The sequence below is a fragment of the Homo sapiens genome, chromosome 6 (assembly GCF_000001405.40).
Source record: "Homo sapiens chromosome 6, GRCh38.p14 Primary Assembly".
NCBI classification, from domain to species: Eukaryota; Metazoa; Chordata; class Mammalia; order Primates; family Hominidae; genus Homo; species Homo sapiens.
In genome coordinates this window covers 131,636,031-131,655,859 of record NC_000006.12, presented here as the reverse complement: position 1 = coordinate 131,655,859, position 19,829 = coordinate 131,636,031, and the positions used below count along the sequence as shown (strand labels likewise).

The following is a 19,829-nucleotide window of genomic DNA, read 5'->3' as shown; positions in this document are numbered from 1 at the left end:
CTGACCACCACCACCACCCCTTTCCTCACCAGGTTCCTTTCTAGTCTTGCCTTGCATCAAGATTGACAAATCAGTCCTGTAATTTCTCTGGGATGCTGCTCCAGCTCTCAAATCCTCAGGTGGACAGTGATTTGCCAGTTTGGAGAAGGCCATTCTAACTAATCATTTGGGCTTAGTCATCTAGGTTTGTTGAGACTCTTTACAAAGACTTTACTGGAAACCTTCCTTCTCACCTAATGTCTCTCTCCTCCCGGTTATCAACAGGTGAGGGAGTCTTGGTGCCTCAAACAATTCTTCCCCTTATTCAGCCCCTTACCCGTTCTTCTGATGAATTGCACAGCATCACGGGCTCAGCCTATGACTTGAGGGAGTGTTATGCCACAGAGACTCTGGGTCCTTACTGCCTGGGTTTGCTTCCTGCTTCCAGCAACCACTAGGAATGCAGCACTGGGCAAGTGATTTCACAGCTTTTGCCTCCATTTCATTCTTTGTAAAATGAGGATGGAGATAATAGAGCCAAAGGGTTTTTATAAGGACTAACATGTAAGATGACTATTGTGTAAAGTACAAATTGGTAAATAATAAGAACTATATGAATGTTAGCTGGTATTAGTATGCTTTTCAGAGATGAATTGACTGTGTAATTTGAACCATGAGAAGAGGCCATGGGCACACCTTAATAGATTCAAGTACCAGGTTCATCTAATAAAGCAAGTGACTATAGAAAAATTTCACTAGAAAAATATTAACGATTTCTTGAGTACCTACTATGTACCATACACTAGAACTAAAATTAACCTACTGTTTGATAGCTCACCAAGCATATTCCCTCGCTTTAGGTCATTTAATTCTCACATGAAATCGTCTGACCCTGGCATTGTTATTATTTCAGTTTCATAGAGGAAGCTCAGAGAAGTGACTAGCGCAAAAGACCTACAGGCAAAATCAGGACTCAAACTCCTCTCATTTTATTCTAATCCTTTACTCTTCCACCCACAAGGTGCAAAGAGAGCAGCTGAATCTGAGCTACAAACCAAAGCAGCATGGGAAAAAAACAGGCACATTATTTATACTCATTTTTAAAATGAAATAACACTATTTAAAAATGCCTCCACTGGGCCAGACACAGCAGGTCTTGCCTGTAATCCCAGCACTTTGGGAGGCCAAGATGGCAGGATCACTTGAGCCCAGAAGTTCGAGACCAGCCTGGGCAACATGGAAAAACACTGTCTCTACAAAAAATAAATGAATTAGCTGAGAATGGTGGCACATGCTTATAGTCCCACCTACTTGAGAGGCTGAGGTGAGGGAATTGTTTGAGGCTAGGAGGTAGCAGCTGCTATGAGTCATGATCACGCCACTGCACTCCAACCTGGGCAACAGAATGAGACCTTGTCTTGAAACAAAAAATGCCTCCACTGGCCAGCACAGTAGTTCATGCCTGTTATCCCACCATTTTGGGAAGCCAAGGCAGGAGGATCAGTTGAGTTCAGGAGTTCGAGTCCAGTCTGGGCAACATAGTGAGCCCCTGTCTGTACAAAAAAAATACAAAAAAATGTTTAGCTGCATGTGGTGGCCCATGCCTGTAGTCTCAAATACTTACGAGGCCGAGATGGGAGGATAGCTTGAGCCCAGGAATTTGAGGCTGCAGTGAGCTATGATCGTGCCACTGCTGCACTCCAGCCTGGTGACAGAGTGAGACCCTATCTCGTAATAATAATAATAATAATAATAATAATAATAATAATAAAACTTAAATTTAAAAACTGCCTCTACCAATTCCTCCTAAAGCCAGGTATTCCTTTCTTTTTCATCCACCCTTCCACCATTCTCCCATTACTTGGCCCAGAAAAGTGTGAAGGGCAGAGGGGTGGATGGAGAAATGGGGAATCCATGCTGGCTTGAAGTGATGCACATTTCCAGGCCCTGGCAGTCAGCGGAGCAGCCCTGATAAACATGTGGAAAAGATGCATGGGAGGGGTGGGGTAGGAGTGTCACCTCACGTGTTCATCACCTATGCCCCCTGACAAAGCTCTCCTCATTCACCCTTCAAGGACCTCCTTTCATTTCAAGGCCTGCACAAACCTCTTTCCCTGCTCTCAAAAGGAAGAAATTTGAGGTGCCAAGATGTTAATAGAAAAGAGTTCTGGCCAGACATGGTGGCTCACAGCTGTAATCCCAACACTTTGGGAGGCCCAGGAGGGAGGCTTGAGGCCAGGAGATCAAGATCAACCTAGCCAACATTGCGAGACCCTATCTTTATTTAAAAAAAGAAGACAGGAATTAAGTTATTTAAAAAAGGAAAAGGAGTTCTGGCAGAAGTAATTTCAAGCTAAGTTTCAATCCTGACCATAAGAACTTTGGAGTATTACCTATTTAATATTCCAATCAATTTGTTAAAGTCATTACTGTGGCTGGGTAGAGTGGCTCATGCCTGGAATCCCAGCATTTTGGGAGGCCAAGGCGAGTAGATAACTTGAACTCAAGAGTTTGAGAGCAGCCTGGGCAACCTAGTGAAACCTCATCTGTACAAAAAAAAAAAAAAAAGAGAGAAAAATAAAAAATTAGCCAAGCATGGTGGCGTGCCTATAGTCCCAGCTACTCAGGAGGCTGAGATGGGGAGGATCACCTGTGTCTGGGAGGTCAAGACTGCAGTGAGCTGTGATTGCACCACCGCGCTCCAGCTTGGAAAACAGAGCAAGACCTTGTCTCAAAGACAAAAACAAAATAAAGTCGTCGTTGTAAGACATGAATATAATAAATTAATATAAAAGGGCTTTGTGAAAAAATAAAGCAAACAAAAGTCCATTAGAACTTGGAAGCCACAAGAAATCTAATCCTTTGTGGACTATTCTGTTTTGAAATGTACATGAATTGGGGGAAATTCCTCTCTGCGTCTCAACTAACTACATTCTTATGTGCACCTTTGTTAAAGGAGGATAAAAATCCCTGTATCAGTCATGCTCACCCTTCTGGGCACTGAGACTGCTGGGCTGTGTCACAGTTTTCTTCCAGCCATGAGGTTTCTCCTGAAAAGCATAAGATCAAAATCTTGATACTTGCTGCAGCACAGACAGAGTAACTAAAGATTCTCCGATGTGTTTTGATTTTTGCAGCCTAGCATGGCTCTAGGAAACTCATGGAGTTCCTCTAAACTCGCAGGGGCAAATGAGTCAACATCCTCCTGCTCACCTTGGCAAACACTCTTATAGTCAGCACAGCAATCTTTCCTCTGCAAACAGTCATCTGAACAAGAGCAAAGGCTGGCCTCTAATCTGGTCTCTCCACAACGAAATTTATTGCACATCCATATTCGAGCTGTAAAACGATACAATTCAGTTCTGAGCATTTAAGCCTGCAGTATAAAATATACAAATTTCATTTATTTATTCCTATATTATAATAACACAATCAAATTCTTGGTTTATCTGTATTAATAAATGAAAATACATAATACCAAATGAGGGGCAAACCACCACTTTTCTTCACTAGCCAGGTGGCAGAGAGAAATGCAGCTTTATAAATCGCAACCCAGGTTTACTTAGCAGGTACACTGTGAGCTTGGAGAAGATCTGAACATGGCTCCTATTCCGACCCAAGAGCAGGAGCTCCCCAAGGTGAAGAATCACTAGCCCTGACTGATTATTGCCACCCAAAAGCAGCTTTGCCCAGCCTTGTCTAAGGACAAGCAGCAAGGAAGAAAAGGTGACAACAGAAGTAACAGGAGCACAGTCATGTCTTTGAGAATGTAGGCAGATCAAGGTACTTCTCAGTGGAAAGTGACAGCAGTGACAGAGCAGCTCCCACTCATGCCTCAGGGGTTCTCCCAGGCTATGGACTTAGGATGAGAACAGTTTCAATAAATCCCATTGCTAAAAACAGCAAGAGGCTGGAGGCAGGTGGCTTGGCACTGCCACCTGCCAGGAAACAGTGACTAAAATCAATGTTAGCCTTGTGCTTAGACAAACATTCTCAATAGGTAACTTTTGTCCACTTCAGTTACATATAGATTTCTTCCTTCCCCAGCATTTCTCATTTACATAGAAACAGAAGATTTTTGGAGATTAAGTAAAGGGAACACAGATCTCTATCTATACTGGGTTATCCTCTCCCTCTTGCCCTTTTCAGGGAACATAATGGAAGGAACTCTACTATTCTAATCTTCACTCTCCTCCAACCACTGGACACCCCCCCACCACCACCTTCCCAGATTATTTAGGGAATTAAACATTGTAAGCTGTCTTTTCCACCTAGAGAACAGCATTTCTCAAGTTGTGCCCTGTGGAATACTGGCATCAGAATGATCAAGAATCACCAGCTTTCCCAGAGAGTTTTATTGCACCTCGACGTTTGAGAACCACTGCAAATGAAACAAACAAGATGTTGAACTTAAGCCATAGTAAAACTCCATTGAAACATATGTAATGATACAGCATTTCATTTACCATAGCCTGTTATTCCTCAACCTCGGTTAAATAAAGTGTGAATTCTGTATTTAGCATTGTTAAGGAGGAAATGATAATAAGACTGTGTATAGGTCTTATAGGTTGAATTGTGTCCTCTAAAAATATGTTGAAGTCCCAACCCCCATTACTTGTGAATGTGACCTTATTTAGAAATGGTTCCAAATTACTTGCCGAGGCTGGGTGGAGTGGCCCACACCTGTAATCCCAGCACTTTGGGATGCCGAGGTAGTGGGATCACTTGAGGCCAGAAGTTCAACACCAGCCTGGCCAACATGGTGAAACCCCGTCTCTACCAAAAATACAAAAATTAGCCAGGCTTGGTAGTGCACTCCTGTAGTCCCAGCTACTTGGGAGGCTGAGGCAGGAGAATCGCTTGAACCCAGGAGGTGGAGGTTGCAGTGAGCCAAGATTGTGCCACTGCAATCCGGCCTGGGCAACAAAGTGAGACTTTGTTTCAAAAAAAAAAAATTACTTGTAAATAATCAAGTAAAATGAGGTCATTAGGGTAGACCTTAATCCTGTATGACTGGTGTTCTTATTAAAAGGGAAAATTTAAACATAGACCCAGACAGAGGAAAGACTATGTGAAGAGACACAGATTATGTGAAGATGAAGGCAGAGCCTGGAGCTGTGCTGCCACAGGCCAAAGATTGCCAGCAGCCACCAGAAGCTAGGAGAGAGGCATGGAGCGGATTCTCTTTTGGAGTCTTCAGGAGGACCCAACCCTGTCAACACCTAGAAGTTGGACTTCCAGTCTCCAAAACTGTAAGAAAACAGACTTCTGTTGGCTAAGCCACCCAGTCTGTGGTACTTTGTCATGGCAGCCTTAGGAAACTAATACACAAGGTATGTAGGTGAAAATTTGGACACAGCCCTGGCATAGTGGTTCATGCCTATAATCCCAGCACTTTGGGAGGCCAAGGTGGGACAACTGCTTGAGCCCAGGAGTTCAAGACCAGCCTAGGCAACATGGTGAGACTCTGTCTCTACAAAAAAATTAAAAACAATTAGCCAGGTGTGGTGGTGCATGCCTGTGGTCCTAGCTACTCAGGAGGCTGAGGTGGAAAGATCAATTGGACCCAGGAGATCAAGTCTGGAGTTGGCCATGATCATGCCACTGCACTCCAGCCTAGGCAACAGAGTGACACTCTGTCTCAAAAAAAAGGAAAGAAAAGAAAAAAATTTGACATGTATTAATAGTAACACAAGCAACATGCTAATAAACTTATTCTCAGAACTCATACTTGATTCCACACAGGTGTCTTCAAAATCCCAGCAGCAATCACCTCGGTCTTTACATGCCACATCACACCGGCAGTTCTCCAGTCCTCTAAATGATGCATCAAAGCACTTCTTCCTGCAGCTGCCTACAAAGTAAAGGAAATAGGGCCCGAACATTTAGGAGCTATTCAATATCTCATACCTAAGCAGTGGAAGCACACAGGAAGTACACAGCACAGACTATGACAGACAACTAGATGATTTTTATGGTGCTGCAGGATCTGCCAATACAATGTAATAAATAATGACACTGATATGGCCAGGTGCCATGGCTCATGCCTGTAATAACAACACTTTGTGAGGCCAAGGCAGAAGAATCACTTGAGGTCAGGAGTTTGAGACCAGTCTGGCTAACATGGCAAAACCCCATCTCTACTAAAAATACAAAACTTAACCAGGTGTGGTGGTGCACGCCTATGGTCCTAGCTACTTGGGAGACTGAGGCAGGAGAATTGCTTGAACCCAGGAGGCAGAGGTTGCAGTGAGCTGAGATTGTGCCACTGAACTCTAGCCTGGGTGACAAAGCAAGACTCTGTCTCAATAATAATAATAATAGTAATGACATTGATATGTACAAGGAGTACATGGGAGCACACAGGGGTGGGACAAAAACTAGCAAGGGGATTAAGGACACCATTGAGTCTTGGGAAAGGATCAAGGTTTTAAAAATCAGTGAAGCTAAGGAAGGCATGTTTGGAGAACAGCAGATGGGTTATGATGGCTAAGGGGTAGAGTTCAAAGGTAGAGGTGGACTAGAGCGAGGAAAGTTGCATATGCCATACTAAGAAGCTTGAAGCCCAACCTTTGGTAACAGGAAGCCATTAAAGAGTAAGCAGAGAGTAATGAACTAGATCTGTGTTTTAGAAAGTCACTCTGGAAAATAGGTGAGTAGGGTAGGGATGGAAACTCCTGAACTAAGCAAGAAATTTTTACCCGCCCCAAAAAAATGATAAGGGCCTGAAGGAAGATAGTAGCAGTAGACATAAGGAAGATGTAAATAGAGCTAAGAGAAATTAAAGTGCAATTAGTTTCAGTTCAGCTTTATATAAAGAGTGAAGAAAAGGCATGAGCCAAGGATGACTTCCAAAATGTAAGGCAAAGGCACTGAAAAAAGGGAAGTTCAGTTTTCCATATATCTAAGCAAATACATATTTAGGAGGGGGTCTGAATATTTGAGTCTGAAGCTCAGGAAAGAGAGACATAAACTAAAGATACTGACTTGGAGTCATCAGCATATTAGGAATAAGAAGCAATGGGAATTCTGTAGTTCTTATTGTGCGAGGAGTGTGTGCCCAGCTAAATATCATTTCTCCTTGCTATGCATTCCCATTGAAAATTATCTATAATTCCCTATGATACTTGCTTTCTGCTTTGCATCCTGAAGGAGTCGTTTGAAGGCAAGGAGGTTATAATAGTGTGTCTAGGAAAGTTCAACTATGCACAACTTGTTTCTATCCCTTGAAAACCAGTGCATAGTTTTAAATTAATTCATTTACTTATTTATTCTATGAATATTTATTTTAGCATCATTATGTTTCAGGCACTGTGCTGGGAATTGCAGATGAAGTGATAAATAATGCAGATATAATTGTAGAGACTTTATATAATAAAAATTTTTAAGTGGTAACTGCAAAGTAACAGTGAATAACACATAGTAATGGGACAACTGGCCAGCTATATAGGGTAAGGAATCTCTTGATATTCTTGCCTCACAACATATACAAAAAAAATTTTAGGTGCTTATCAAAACAGAAATGTCTCAGGAGTGAAGTGGTTAAGGACAGTATTTTAGAATACTCATTTTCAAAATATGCAAGAAAGGTTAAGGACAATGAGGACTGACATAACAGGCACTAAAAGTGATAATTCTCAGAGCATTAGATCTCCTGAATTCATCCTACTATAGTTTGACCCCAAAAAACATCAAGCAGAAGACTCAGATGATTTTCAAAGTACACTGTAAAAAGTTAGTGAACATAAGAAAAATATGATCATTTTTTACTAACAAATCAATGAGATATACAGTTGTTCGTAGTATAAATTCACAACTTTCAGGAAGGTTATTTGACGATATGAAGCAAAAGCTGTAAAATGTGAATTTTAAGGAAAGAGATAAAGAAAGACAGAAAGGCAAAAGGAGTACATGAAAACACAAATACAAAGTTGCTGTTATAAAATTTCTACAAGAATATACAATAATGTGATGATAATCTTAGCTATTTCTGAGGAGGGAAACATGATAGCTATTATACGGCAGTGGAAGAAACCCTTTTAAATAAATAATGAGATTATATTACCCATGCAAAACTAATAATACTTTGAAAAGTCTATCTACAAAGTGGAGAACATTTTCTTTAAAATATTTATCTCCAATATTATGAAACATTAAAAAAATTTATCTTTTAGAAATACACAATGAAATGTTTATAGAAATGAAATAATGTCAAGTATTTGCTTCAAAATAATATGTAGAGGAGGTTATGGAGAAAGGTATAAATAAAACAGTATTGGTCATGAATTGATAGAGTGGGATGATGAATACATAGACATTTATTAAATTAGTATTCCTACTTTTGTATGTTTAAAATCTTAAATTAATTAAAAAAATCTTTACATCCTTTGATTTCAGCCATTTCACTTCCAGACTTTATACTAAAGAAACATACAAAGATCTATGTTGAGAAATATTCTCCATAGTGTTATACATAATTACAAACATATTTTAACTGAAACAGTCTTAATGTACATTAAAGGGAGGATTTATTAAATTATTATATCAACATAAAATAACATTATAAGCATTTCTGGATGCCAGTAGAAGTTATTTTAACACATTATTGTTCATGGTTTTAATGATTTTGAGAAATGCTTACGTTATTATTTGAAAACAGCAAACTACAAAATAGAATACAGTTTTCTCTTTAAAAGTAGCTGGTTGAGGCCTGGTGCAGTGGCTCATGCCTATAATCCCAGCACTTTGGGAGGCCGAGGCAGGCAGATCACCTGAGCTCAGGAGTTTGAGACAAGCCTTGGCAACATGGCGAAACCCCGTCTCTACAAAGCATACAAAAATTAGATGGGTGCAGTGGCACGTGCCTTTAGTCCTAGCTACTCAAGAGGCAAAAAAAAAAAAAAAAAAAGTAGCTGGTTGATAAAACTCATTTACCTCTTCCATCTCCTCAAATTCCACAAAATTTCACAAAAAGAAGAGGAAAACAGTTTATAAAAGTATATGAATACTCTAAATCAAATCGAAGATAGAAGCAGAAAAAGAATTTTGAAACACAGAAATAGCAGAATGAAGGAAGCAACAACTAGGTGCCTAAGAGGAAGGAGTCCTGGAAAAGTTAAAAAAAAAAAAAAAAAAAGCCAAGAGCTTTCCCCTAGGACCCTAGAAGGGAGGTCCCAGGGTGTCGTTAGGTAAGAAAAAAGGTCATTAAGTAAGAGAAACAGGGTGTCATTAGGTAAGAGAAGAGGGGAACAGGCACAAAGCTAAATATAGGAGAATTGGTAAAAGCTTGGATGTGGAGCAGTCACTACTCACCCTGCCTCCCACTCCAGACTAGGAGGCTCATAATCTGGAGGAATAAGGAGTGGCTTTCATCACAGAGACAACAGACATACAGGAGGGTAACTATGATAAGAAAAAACAAGCCTTACTCTGAAAATGAACAGATGGTCCCCAGACATTTGAGGATAGCAGGATAGCAACCTACATGAAAGACAAACACTGAACAAACAACATCAAAGAAAAACTTGATTGAAAAGGAAATAATGCAGGGAGCAAAAGAGTTAAAATAACAACACACACACACACACACACACACACACACACACAGAGTATTGAGAGCCTCAGAAAAGAGAGAAGATACTGCGTCAACAAAATAAGAAAGAGAACTATAATTTTTTTAAAAGACCCCACATTCAGGGTGGTCTTGTAAGTAAAAATATGAGGGAAGTAAAGAAAAATTCAGTAGAGATATGGTAAGCAGAATTGTGGTCCACAAGAAGATTCCAAGTCTTAATTGCTGAGACTTCAAGTCTGTTGTCTTACATGACCAAGGAACTGTGCAGATGTAACTAAGGCTACTAATTAACTGATCTTAGAACAGGGAGGTGAGGCCTTAAAGTGAAAGAGAAAATGGAGTTGATGTTATGAAAGAAATCATATTATAAAATTTCCCAGAATTGAAGAGCGTAAATTATTAGACCATAGTTGCCCACCAAGTTTCCCAGGGCAAAACTCACACTAAGAGATCAATAGGATTAAGAGATATTGAAAGCCTCCACAGAGAGATCATGAGCAACCTACAAAGGATCACTAATCAGAAATTTATTAAAATACCAAATGTATTAAAAGCAACTCTGGATACTATAAGACAGTAAAGTAATACCTTCAGATTTCTAGAAAAACAAAGTATTTCCATCTTAGAATTCAACACCTAGCCAAACTGTCAAGTGTTAGGTTAGAATGATGCGTCTTTACATAGACAAAGATTCAAGTTATCTCTCTCATGCATCCTGTTTTAGGAAGCTATCAAGTTGTTCTTCAACAAAATGAGAAAATGAAACAAGAAGAAAGAGATTTTAAAATCATGGGATCTAACACAATAGATGGGCTAATGGAAATATCAACCATCCACCAGACCAAGAGAGCAACCAACATGGATTAGAGCAACAGGGCAGAGAAATAGAAACTAAAATGAAAGACTTTATTCTATACCCAACTGCACACTGCCAAAAATTAGAGAGCTGAATAATGGCAATGGCTGGTGGAGAGGTAAGTTGAAGGAAGGTAGGGTAGGCTGAGGCAGCCATTCTAGAAAGCAACCTGGGACTACATACCTGAGTTAAGAAGATGAAAACCCTAACTTCCTGAAACTTCATTCCTTGATCTATGGCAAAGCAGTTATCACACAGGTTTATAAGGGAACCTGCAGTATTTATGTGATTGTGAGGAACTAAAGCCAATTTGGGTGCTCAGCACCAAGAGAGGGCATAGGTTGGTTGGCAAGTTGGGTACATGCCAAAGAGTAACACACAGTAGAAGCATGAGAACAGATGTATGCATGGCAATTCTGATGGGTCTCAAAAAGTGCTCAATGAAAAACTAGAAAAAAAATATGTAGATTTAGATACATCACAACCATTTACATAAATGGTCTTTACGTTTTTTCATACACTCTCCCCTTATAAAACCTTTCTGCACTTGGTTTCTAGAACACAATAGTTACCTGGCTTTCCTCTCACATTCCTGGCTACTCCTTCCTAGTTTTCTTTGCTTTTCCCCTTCACCTCCCCAATTCTTTAAGGTTGTTCTACCCCAGTCTCATGGTTTAAATCCCACATATGCTGACAAGCACCACAGTACATGACCAGGCAGGACTTCACCTCTAAAGCTAGCCTCATATGTTCAACTACATTCTTGACTTCTGCGCTTGGACATCCAATAGAACTAGCAAATTTAACAGGTCCAAAACTGAGCTCCTGATTTTTCTCCCCAAACCAGCTCCTTCTACAATCTGCCCCAACTCAGTTATGGAAATTCATGTTTCCAGATGTTCATACAAAAATTCTGGGGTCATTCTTGACTCCTCTTTCTTACTCTAAATCCAGTCTTTCAATAAAATCTATCTACCCCATCAAAATAGATCCAGAATCCAAATACTTCTTACCAGCTACAATGCTACTGCCCTGGTTTAAGACATAAGGCTTACCCAGATTATTGGAATAATCTCCTGATTGGTCTCTCTACTTCTGCTCTCACTCTACTATCTATTCATAACACAGCAGCCCTAGGGATTCTATTAAAAAGCAAACCAGAGCATATCATTCCTCTGCCCAAATCCTGCAATCAGTTCTTGTCACACTCAGAATGAAAGTTGAAGACCAGGCTTTGACATACTAACCTTTACTTGATCGGGTTCCTCTTTATTTAGTAGATCTCATTTTATGACCACCTCCCTCTAGTCCTTTTAGTTCTAGTTCATGGCCTCTTTGTTATTCCTTAAATGGAACATGCCAGGCAAGGTCCTGCCTTTGGCCTTTGCACTTGATAGTCCTTCTGACCTGGAATGTTCCTCCCCAACCTATCCCTATGTTTCTGTCTCACTTCCTTCAGTCATTACTCAAAAGTTATTTCACACACACACACACACACACACACACAGACACACACACACACACACAGACGACCCTGATTCCTTCTTTTGGGCTTTACTTATTTCTTAGCACTTTATCTTATTATATACATATTTTGTTTATTTATATTTTTATTGTCTGTCTTGCATGCTAAAATATAAACTCCTGGAAGGATTTTGTCTCTTGTCTTCACCACTTCATCTCCAGTAATTGTAATAATACCAAGCACATAATGTTCAATCAAAAAATACGTGTAGTCATGACGGTAAATCTGTAAGAACATGCACAAATTTTAAAACTCACATTAGAAAAAATACATATTGCCTATGGAAGGTGAGTTAACTGGAGTGGAAAATGGTGAAAATGACCCAGGGTTGGGGTTTAGGAGAATAGATGCGGTGGAAAAATGAGTAATAAAGAGGATGACTATGTTAAGGATGCTGGCAAAAAGGGGCTGGAGTTAATTACCAATGCCCTGCCAGGGAGAGGGAAGAGCATGCTGCCACATAGGGCTGATCAACTCAGATGAAAGGACGAGGACAAGGAAAAATGACTCCGGGAAGCCAGCCAATGGGTGTACTAAAGTGAATGAAAGAGCTGGAACAAAAGGAGGTTTTGTTCAGACATTAGATATGCCTTCTGCAATCAATTTATGTGATTTAGGGGGTAAAATAGCCAAGAAGTGATGCCCATTTGTGTGTACTAACATCAAAACAATACCACTGAAATGGCCTGTCAACATTTCTTTGATCAAGGACTGGCACTATGGCCCAGAAACACAACAGCCAAGTGACAAGAGAAGATAGTAATCTTCCAGCAATTATTCAACTTTTCAGTTCTACTGTGCTCCTAGGTCATACTAGGGAAGCTGAGTGTTTCTCAAGTAGACACATGACTGGAAAATTATCAGTTAACCTTACTGAGGCTTCCTAATGCTGCAGCAATGAGACTTACTCCACTGGAGTCACACTAGAAGGTTTTAGTCAAATTTAAAAATGGGGCCAGAGCTTTGTGCATTGGCAGTATAGTAGCCAATGAGGTTTATTTGAGGTATGATTATTGCTCATAAAAATTTTACAAAGGCAAAAATAGGGTGAGGGTGCTGGGCACAGTGTCTCACACCAGCAATCCCAATGCTTAAAAGAAGCCAAGGCAGGAGTATCACTTGCATCCAGGAGTTCAAGACCAGCCTGGACAACGTAGTGAGACCCCATGTCTACACAAAATTAAAAAATTAACCACGTGTGGTAGTGCATGCCTGTATACCAGGTACCTGGGGGGCCGAGGTGGGAGGATCACTTGAGCCCAGGAGATCGAGGCTGCGGTAAGCTGTGATCACACCACTGCACTCAGCCTGAGCAACAAAGTGAGACCTTGTCTCAAAAAACAAACAACAAAAAGCGGGGGGACATGAATGATCTAGCAACTGGCTTCATACTTCACCTTAGTAAAAGTAACAAAACAATATGTAAAAAGATTATAGGTAATTCTTTTTATATTGTCATTTGTAAGTGGTGCATTTACTCTCCATAATAATGAAATATAGCAAAAGGAATGTGAGGTATTTTATATTTTGGGACATATTTCTCCTATTTTTCTTTGCTTCTTATAAGAAAAAAATTTTTGAAGATATTATTATGCACTACTTTTCAAGAATTTGGCACTGTCCAATCAAGAACCAGGAGATTTTAGGGGTAGAACAACTCTAGCGTGGTGTCAAGGTACAGGGTGGTGGCAGGAGGTCATGGGAATGAAGCAACAAAGACTTTCAAGACTAAGTGGCTAGATACTTTGTCATCAGATGTTGAAAATGACAGTGGGAGCAGAATGAAAAGGCTGTGATCCACTTACCAAAGTCCATTATAAAGATGAAGAAGGGCCAGGCGCGGCAACTCACACCTGTAATCCCAGCACTTTGGGAAGCTGAGGTGGGTGGATCACTTGAGCCCGGGAGCTCGAGACCAGCCTGGGCAATGTAGTGAAACCCCATCTCTACTAAAACTGCAAAAATTAGCCGGGTGTGGTGGCACACACCTGTGGTCCCAGCTACTTGGGAGGCTCAAGTATGGGAGGATCACCTGAGGGCAGGGAGGAACTGCAGTGAGTGGAGATTGTGCTCCAGCCTGAGAGACAGAGTGAGATCTTGCCAAAAAAAAAAAAAAAAAAAAAAAACCAGGGTGGAGAAAGGTAAGAGAAAAACACTGGAATGATAATGAGTCTCAAATGAGCAGGGTGAAAAAGTAAAGTCCAGAAAGTACAGTGAGCAATGCCAACCTCAGATGTGGACTCCCGATAAGTAGAGTGGGGAAAGGGAGATGTCTAGAAGCAGAATGCTGCATGGAGGACAGAGGAGGCTTGGGATGGGAGATACATTTTAATGAATTAAGGCCAGAAGAGAGAAGAAATAAGGGAATGTTCTGAGAAAAGGCTGAGGGGTATACCTTGCTTTTCCAGTTTCCTGAGTCCAAGCCCCAGGCCTAATCCAAGTGACATGATCACCAGCAAAGCAAGAAGAACCTATTGCAAAAAGGAAAAAGTAACTTTTATAATTTTTTAAAAAATTACAAAGATACAAATAACCACCCTTTCTCAGTATTCTCTCTAAGTACCTGCAGCGTACTAGTTATGCCAGATACCAGATCCAACAATGATCTAGTATCTGGCCTAACTGGAGGTATAGTATTTTATTTAATGCTTGAAATTAAGAAAGAATATTTTGGCAGAATTTAAAGATACCATTTATTACAGATCTTCAAATTCAAACACATTTACCATTCAAATGCAATGAACTTAACTGCAAATTGAGTTAAAGTTAAGAATTAAAACCATAAAACCATTTTTCTGGGCCATTTTTTTTAAACCAGGCACCCATTTGTGATCATTTATTGAAAAGAATTGCAGAACTGTTAAATCCTTAACTGCCTCATTCTAAGGGAGCAGGGCTTTTTTTCCTACTCTATCACAGGATGATAATAATATTTAACATACGTAAAAATACATTGTCCAAATAGTTAACTAGCAAATAATCTGTTTTGGTCTTCCACTCATACAAACCACTTAGGATAATTTGGAAACTGCCTGACCAAAGATTGTTTATGTCATTCATTATCGCTCTGCTGACAAAGCCCTTTGGTGTAACGAACTTTATGCTATGATTAGATTAAACTATGATATAATTAAAAAGAATTCTTCTAGCTGCCCTCTTTCCTCTTCCATGAAGTCCAGAGATAAGCATGCTGGATGACAGGGCTTGAATACTGTATGTTGTCATAAAGAATGGCAGAAAGACACGTAATCAAATTACTTAGGAAAGTATTTTACAATAACCTTTGTTATAGTTTCAGACACAAAAAATAACTTTCACAAAAGAAAAAAACATCAGATTTTGCTTAGATAATTAAGAAGTACATAAATTATTTTTTTGAGGATTGTTTTCATTCTGAAAGTCAACTGGAAAATTAACACATCTAATGTTTACAATGGAAGTGAATTCAACAATTGGGAAGCTATGTTACAATACTAAGAAAACAATTCTTATATGAAGTCTCAAAGTTAGCTCAAGGGTCAGTGACCTTTCAGTACATGTTCATTCAGTGGAGAGGATGGAGAGGAAAAAATGAACATAAGCATTTACTAAATAACACCATTAGCAGTTCCTCCCTTGTCATGGTGCTTAGAAGACACAGTCGACTGAAACTAGAGTGACTACAAAGCAGAAAAACAACGTTGGGGAACTCCTTCTGGTAAACCTCACACATCATAGACTTACAAATTAACATATTTTGGTTTACACCTTATCTGTGGTACTTTTGCTGTTCAAACTTGCTAGAAAAATCAACAACATCTAGCTGTTCTTAAGATGCTTTAAAACTTCACAATATTTAATGTTAGAATCTGTTTCTTCATAATTTTTGTATTTGTTCCATATATTTGTGGCTTGTTTTCTACATTATTCTGTGAGCTCCTTGAGAGTAAAAGGCTTATTTATTTATTATTATTATTATTATTTAGAGTTGGAGGTCTCACTATGTTGACCAGGCTGGTATGGAACTCCTGGCCTCAAGAGCTCCTCTTATCTCGGCCTCCTAAAGTGCTGGGATTATAGGCACTAGCCACTGTGCCCCGCCTAAGAAGTTTATTTTTAAGCCTTTATAATCATTTACTATAAATATGTAATTCCAAAAAAGCTTCTTGATATTGGGGTGCACATGTATCTTAAACTATGTTACACTGTGCACAAAGTGGGGAGAATACTCTGAACATCAAAAACTGCTGAGAGCACATCATTTGGCTTTAACTGGGCTAAACAAAGAGTGCTAGAAACACAGCAGATACCTTCAAAATGTTTAAGTGAAACTTTAGTAAAAGTTTGAAGACATCAGGGTACTTTTGAAACAATGATTTAAAAATATTGAACTTCATTATATATACTCAAAAACCACTAGAGAGATACAAAGAAGGGAAATTAATGATGCACAAATTTTGCTGTGGAAGATTTTATAATTTCCTGAATTGATAAGCTAGGATAAATATAATAAACATGCTTGAAGTCCCAGCTACTCGGGAGGCTGAGATGGGAAGATCATTTGAGCCAAAGTTGGAGCCTGAGTTGCTGCAGCAAGCCATGATCATGCCACTGTCTTCCAGCCTGGGCAACAGAGCGAGAACATGTCTCCAAAAAAAAGAGAGAGAGAAAAAAAAAAAAATATATATATATATATATATTAGCATAAGAGCTATAAAGAGCACTCTGAAATTGAAATTCTCAGAAGGATAAAGAATAAATGGAATATATTGAGGATTTACTTTGTTACTAGGCTTAATACTTACACACATTGTTTTACATTATTTTATTTACTTCTTGAAACAATTCTGGAGAGACAGAGAATAGCGGTGACCTTAAAATATGGGATATAGGGAAAAGCTGCGGCAAGATTGGTGTGAAAAAATAATGCAATTAGTTTTGGTGTAAGGTACTGAGTCAGGAGTCAGGAAGCAGGCATTTGAAACAGGCTAGTGCACTGGGGCACACACATAGTCCCCAGCTACTCAAGAGGCTGAATGAGAGGATCACTTGAGCCCAGGGTTCAAGACCAGCCTGGGCAACATAGCGAGACCCAGTCTCTAAAAATACACATATTACCAAAATAATAAAATTAAAAAAAAAAAGAAATTGTGTGACAGAGGCTGGGCAAAAAGTCAGAGCTGGTGGATTACTTGGAATTCTTGGCTGAGGAAAACACTAGAGGCCAGGTGCAGTGGTTCATGCCTGTAGTCCCAGCACTTTGGGAGGCCGAGGCAGGTAGATCACTTGATCCAGGAGTTTGAGACCAGCCTGGGCAACATGGTGAAACCCAGTCTCTACAAAAAAAAGAAAAGAAAGAAAAAAACTCACAAAAACTTAGCTGAGCCTTGTGGCATGTGCCTGTGGTCCAAGCTACTCAGGAGGCTGAGGCAGGAGGATCACTTGAGCCTGGGAAACAGAGGTTGTGGTGAGGTGAGATCCCAAAGGAGAGAGACCCTGTCTCAAAAATAAAATTAAAATTAAAAAGACTATTAGAGAACATGAGATTTCTTAAGAGATCTTAGATAGGGTTTAGTGAAGCTTGTGTTGTAATTTTCATGAGAATAAAGATAAATTGTTGGCTAAGAATGCAGATAAGGAAAAAAGTCATAAAATGAAAATGTCAATGTCATGGTAGAAGCAAGGGGAGAGAATAATTCAGAATGAGAAAGTACCAGGAAGTTATTGTTGTTATGAACACTCAAGTGGATGAAGGACGAGGAGGACTGACTTTTGAGTCAGGGACTCAGTACAGTAGAAACAAAGCCAGAGCACAAAGGAATGGTTGGGGGCTGAGAAAACTGAAGCAATGAAATGAGCCCTCTTTACCCCAAAAGTTTGATGGCAAAGGGAAAAGAGAGAGTAATAAAATCAAGGAAATGGATAAGCGTATTTCTGGAGTAAAAAGAAAAAGAAAAAAATTTAAAATTAAAAAAAAGAAAAAAGAAAATAAAATCAAGGAAAATTTATTTGGGGGGTGAGGGGGGGTGGCAGATCTTACCACATGAAATGACAAGAGAGAGAAAATAGGCAAAAGAGACTATCTCTAGGAGTGAAGTAAAATAGGATACAATTGTTGGTTCAGCAAATAATAGGGTACAATGATTTTAATTTCTCACTTTCTTGTCTTAAAATACTCATGCAATAAAAAAGTGATTGAGAGGTAGTTATAATCATGCAAAAAATCAGCGCCACAAAGCGTTCTGTCATGGATTCCAACTTTTGAGTTTAACGTAATGTTAACTTGTTGTTACTCAAATTTCTTACGTGTAAAATATGATTTAAGATATTAATTTGCATTAGAGTTTTCATAAGGGATAATACTGAATACAGTTACTTAAAAGTTTACATTTTAATAGCAACACAAAGAAATGTAAATGGGAAATCATATACTTTTAACATTTGTCACAAAACTAGAAAGACTAAAAATAAGAATTGTACTTACAATGCAAGCTATTTTATATTTCTTAAGAGTGTTCTTCTTAACAGGTTGTTCCGTTGCTAAAGTCAACGTAGATTCCATTGTCCTGGTAGCTGCATAGACCTGTTTTATCAGAATAAATTAGTGCTCCTTCTTTAGTCTAGTCTGGCAAAGAGAAACTGTATGAGTTACATAGCTGTGCCTGACTTTTAACTGTTTAGGAAGATCACAGCTCTTCAGTGATTGGGCAATCTGGAGAGAGGAAAAAATGTTGTAATAAGAATCGTGTGAAAAGATTAAAGTTCATTTCTAGTATATTGCAGACAACTGCTCCTTTTTTCCTTATAACTTTTACTAAATACTAGTCAAGACATATATAACAAGAATAACACAATCATCAAATTTTAATGCAATCCGATCTTCTGTTTTCTTTAAAAATAACCCCGAACAAAAAGCCTTGTCACAGAAATTTCAGACTTTCCGCTTTTCTATAAACTTCATAGCAGCTGAAAATCAACATAGCAAAACATGTGCTTTGACAACAGTAGAAATTCTGAAACTCTGCTGAACCAATATAAAGTACTTAGTTCTGTGATAATTATATCTTGCTTTTTACAGTGTTCACAATTTGACAAGTTTTTATACACATTAGCTCAAGTCAAACTTAAAAATATCCCTTATAAACATTTTATTCTTGTTTTTAGATGAGCAAATTAAGGCTCTGATTATTTAAATTAAGTTATTATATATGACTTATTGCTCAAAATTATTTACTAGGTGCCAGAACTAGAACTGATACCCAAGACTTCTAACTCCCCAAATCCAAGCAATTTTCACTAATCAATTTAAATTCACTATTTTCTTATGTATCTAGACTGGTGCATCCTAGCATGTGTACTCCATGCTGAAAAGGGGTTACAGTTTGGTGATGAAAGAAGCTAAATTAATAATAGTGTTGGTCAAAGAGAATTTTAGCAAATAGTGGATGCTAAACTCTTCTAGTTTCAGTGACCCTAAGGCAGTGATTCTCAAAGTTTGGTTCCATGGAACATGAGTTCTATGACAACCCCCTTGGTTAAATAAAGCTTGAATACTCCTCTAATGAAAAGATTATCAAAATCCTGTAGACTGCAGTACACCCTTTGGAAAACACTACTCTAACTAACTAAACTCTTCCAACCCTAAAAGCAGTGAGAAAAAAAATATGAAAAGAATGTATTCTAATATAAATACAATGACTGCATCACTACTCTAACTAAACATGTCTAAATCATAGAATTTAGACACTATTTCTGAAAATCAGGGGGAAGAGGATTGCTTGAGTCCAGGAATTTGAGACCAGCCGGGGCAACATAGGGAGACTCTGTCTCTATAACAACAACAACAAAAATTAGCCAGGCATGGTGGTGCATGCCAATAGTCCCAGCTACTGGAGAGGTTGAGGTGTGAGGATCCC

General features: G+C 39.0%; 1 protein-coding gene and 1 pseudogene across 3 annotated transcripts in view; one reads left to right on the top strand and one right to left on the bottom strand.

Moving 5' to 3' along the window:
• The window catches only part of ENPP3 (ectonucleotide pyrophosphatase/phosphodiesterase 3), a 110,109-nt gene extending 91,551 nt beyond the window's left edge, over nt 1-18,558 (bottom strand). For 2 of the 3 annotated variants that reach the window (NR_133007.2, NM_005021.5), the window contains exons 1-5: nt 18,398-18,558; nt 14,330-14,405; nt 5,711-5,833; nt 3,193-3,318; nt 2,969-3,029 (exon numbers count right to left, since the gene is read on the bottom strand). Coding sequence is in view for 2 of the 3 variants with exons in the window: in NM_005021.5 (NP_005012.2) it covers nt 2,969-3,029; nt 3,193-3,318; nt 5,711-5,833; nt 14,330-14,405; nt 18,398-18,475 (464 nt within the window). In the remaining variant the exon portion in view is untranslated. Of the gene's footprint in view, nt 1-2,968; nt 3,030-3,192; nt 3,319-4,250; nt 4,723-5,710; nt 5,834-14,329; nt 14,406-18,397 lie in introns of those variants that run through there. The other variant, XM_017010932.2, reaches the window with a different exon arrangement.
• RNU4-18P (RNA, U4 small nuclear 18, pseudogene) lies at nt 12,894-13,042 on the top strand (annotated as a pseudogene).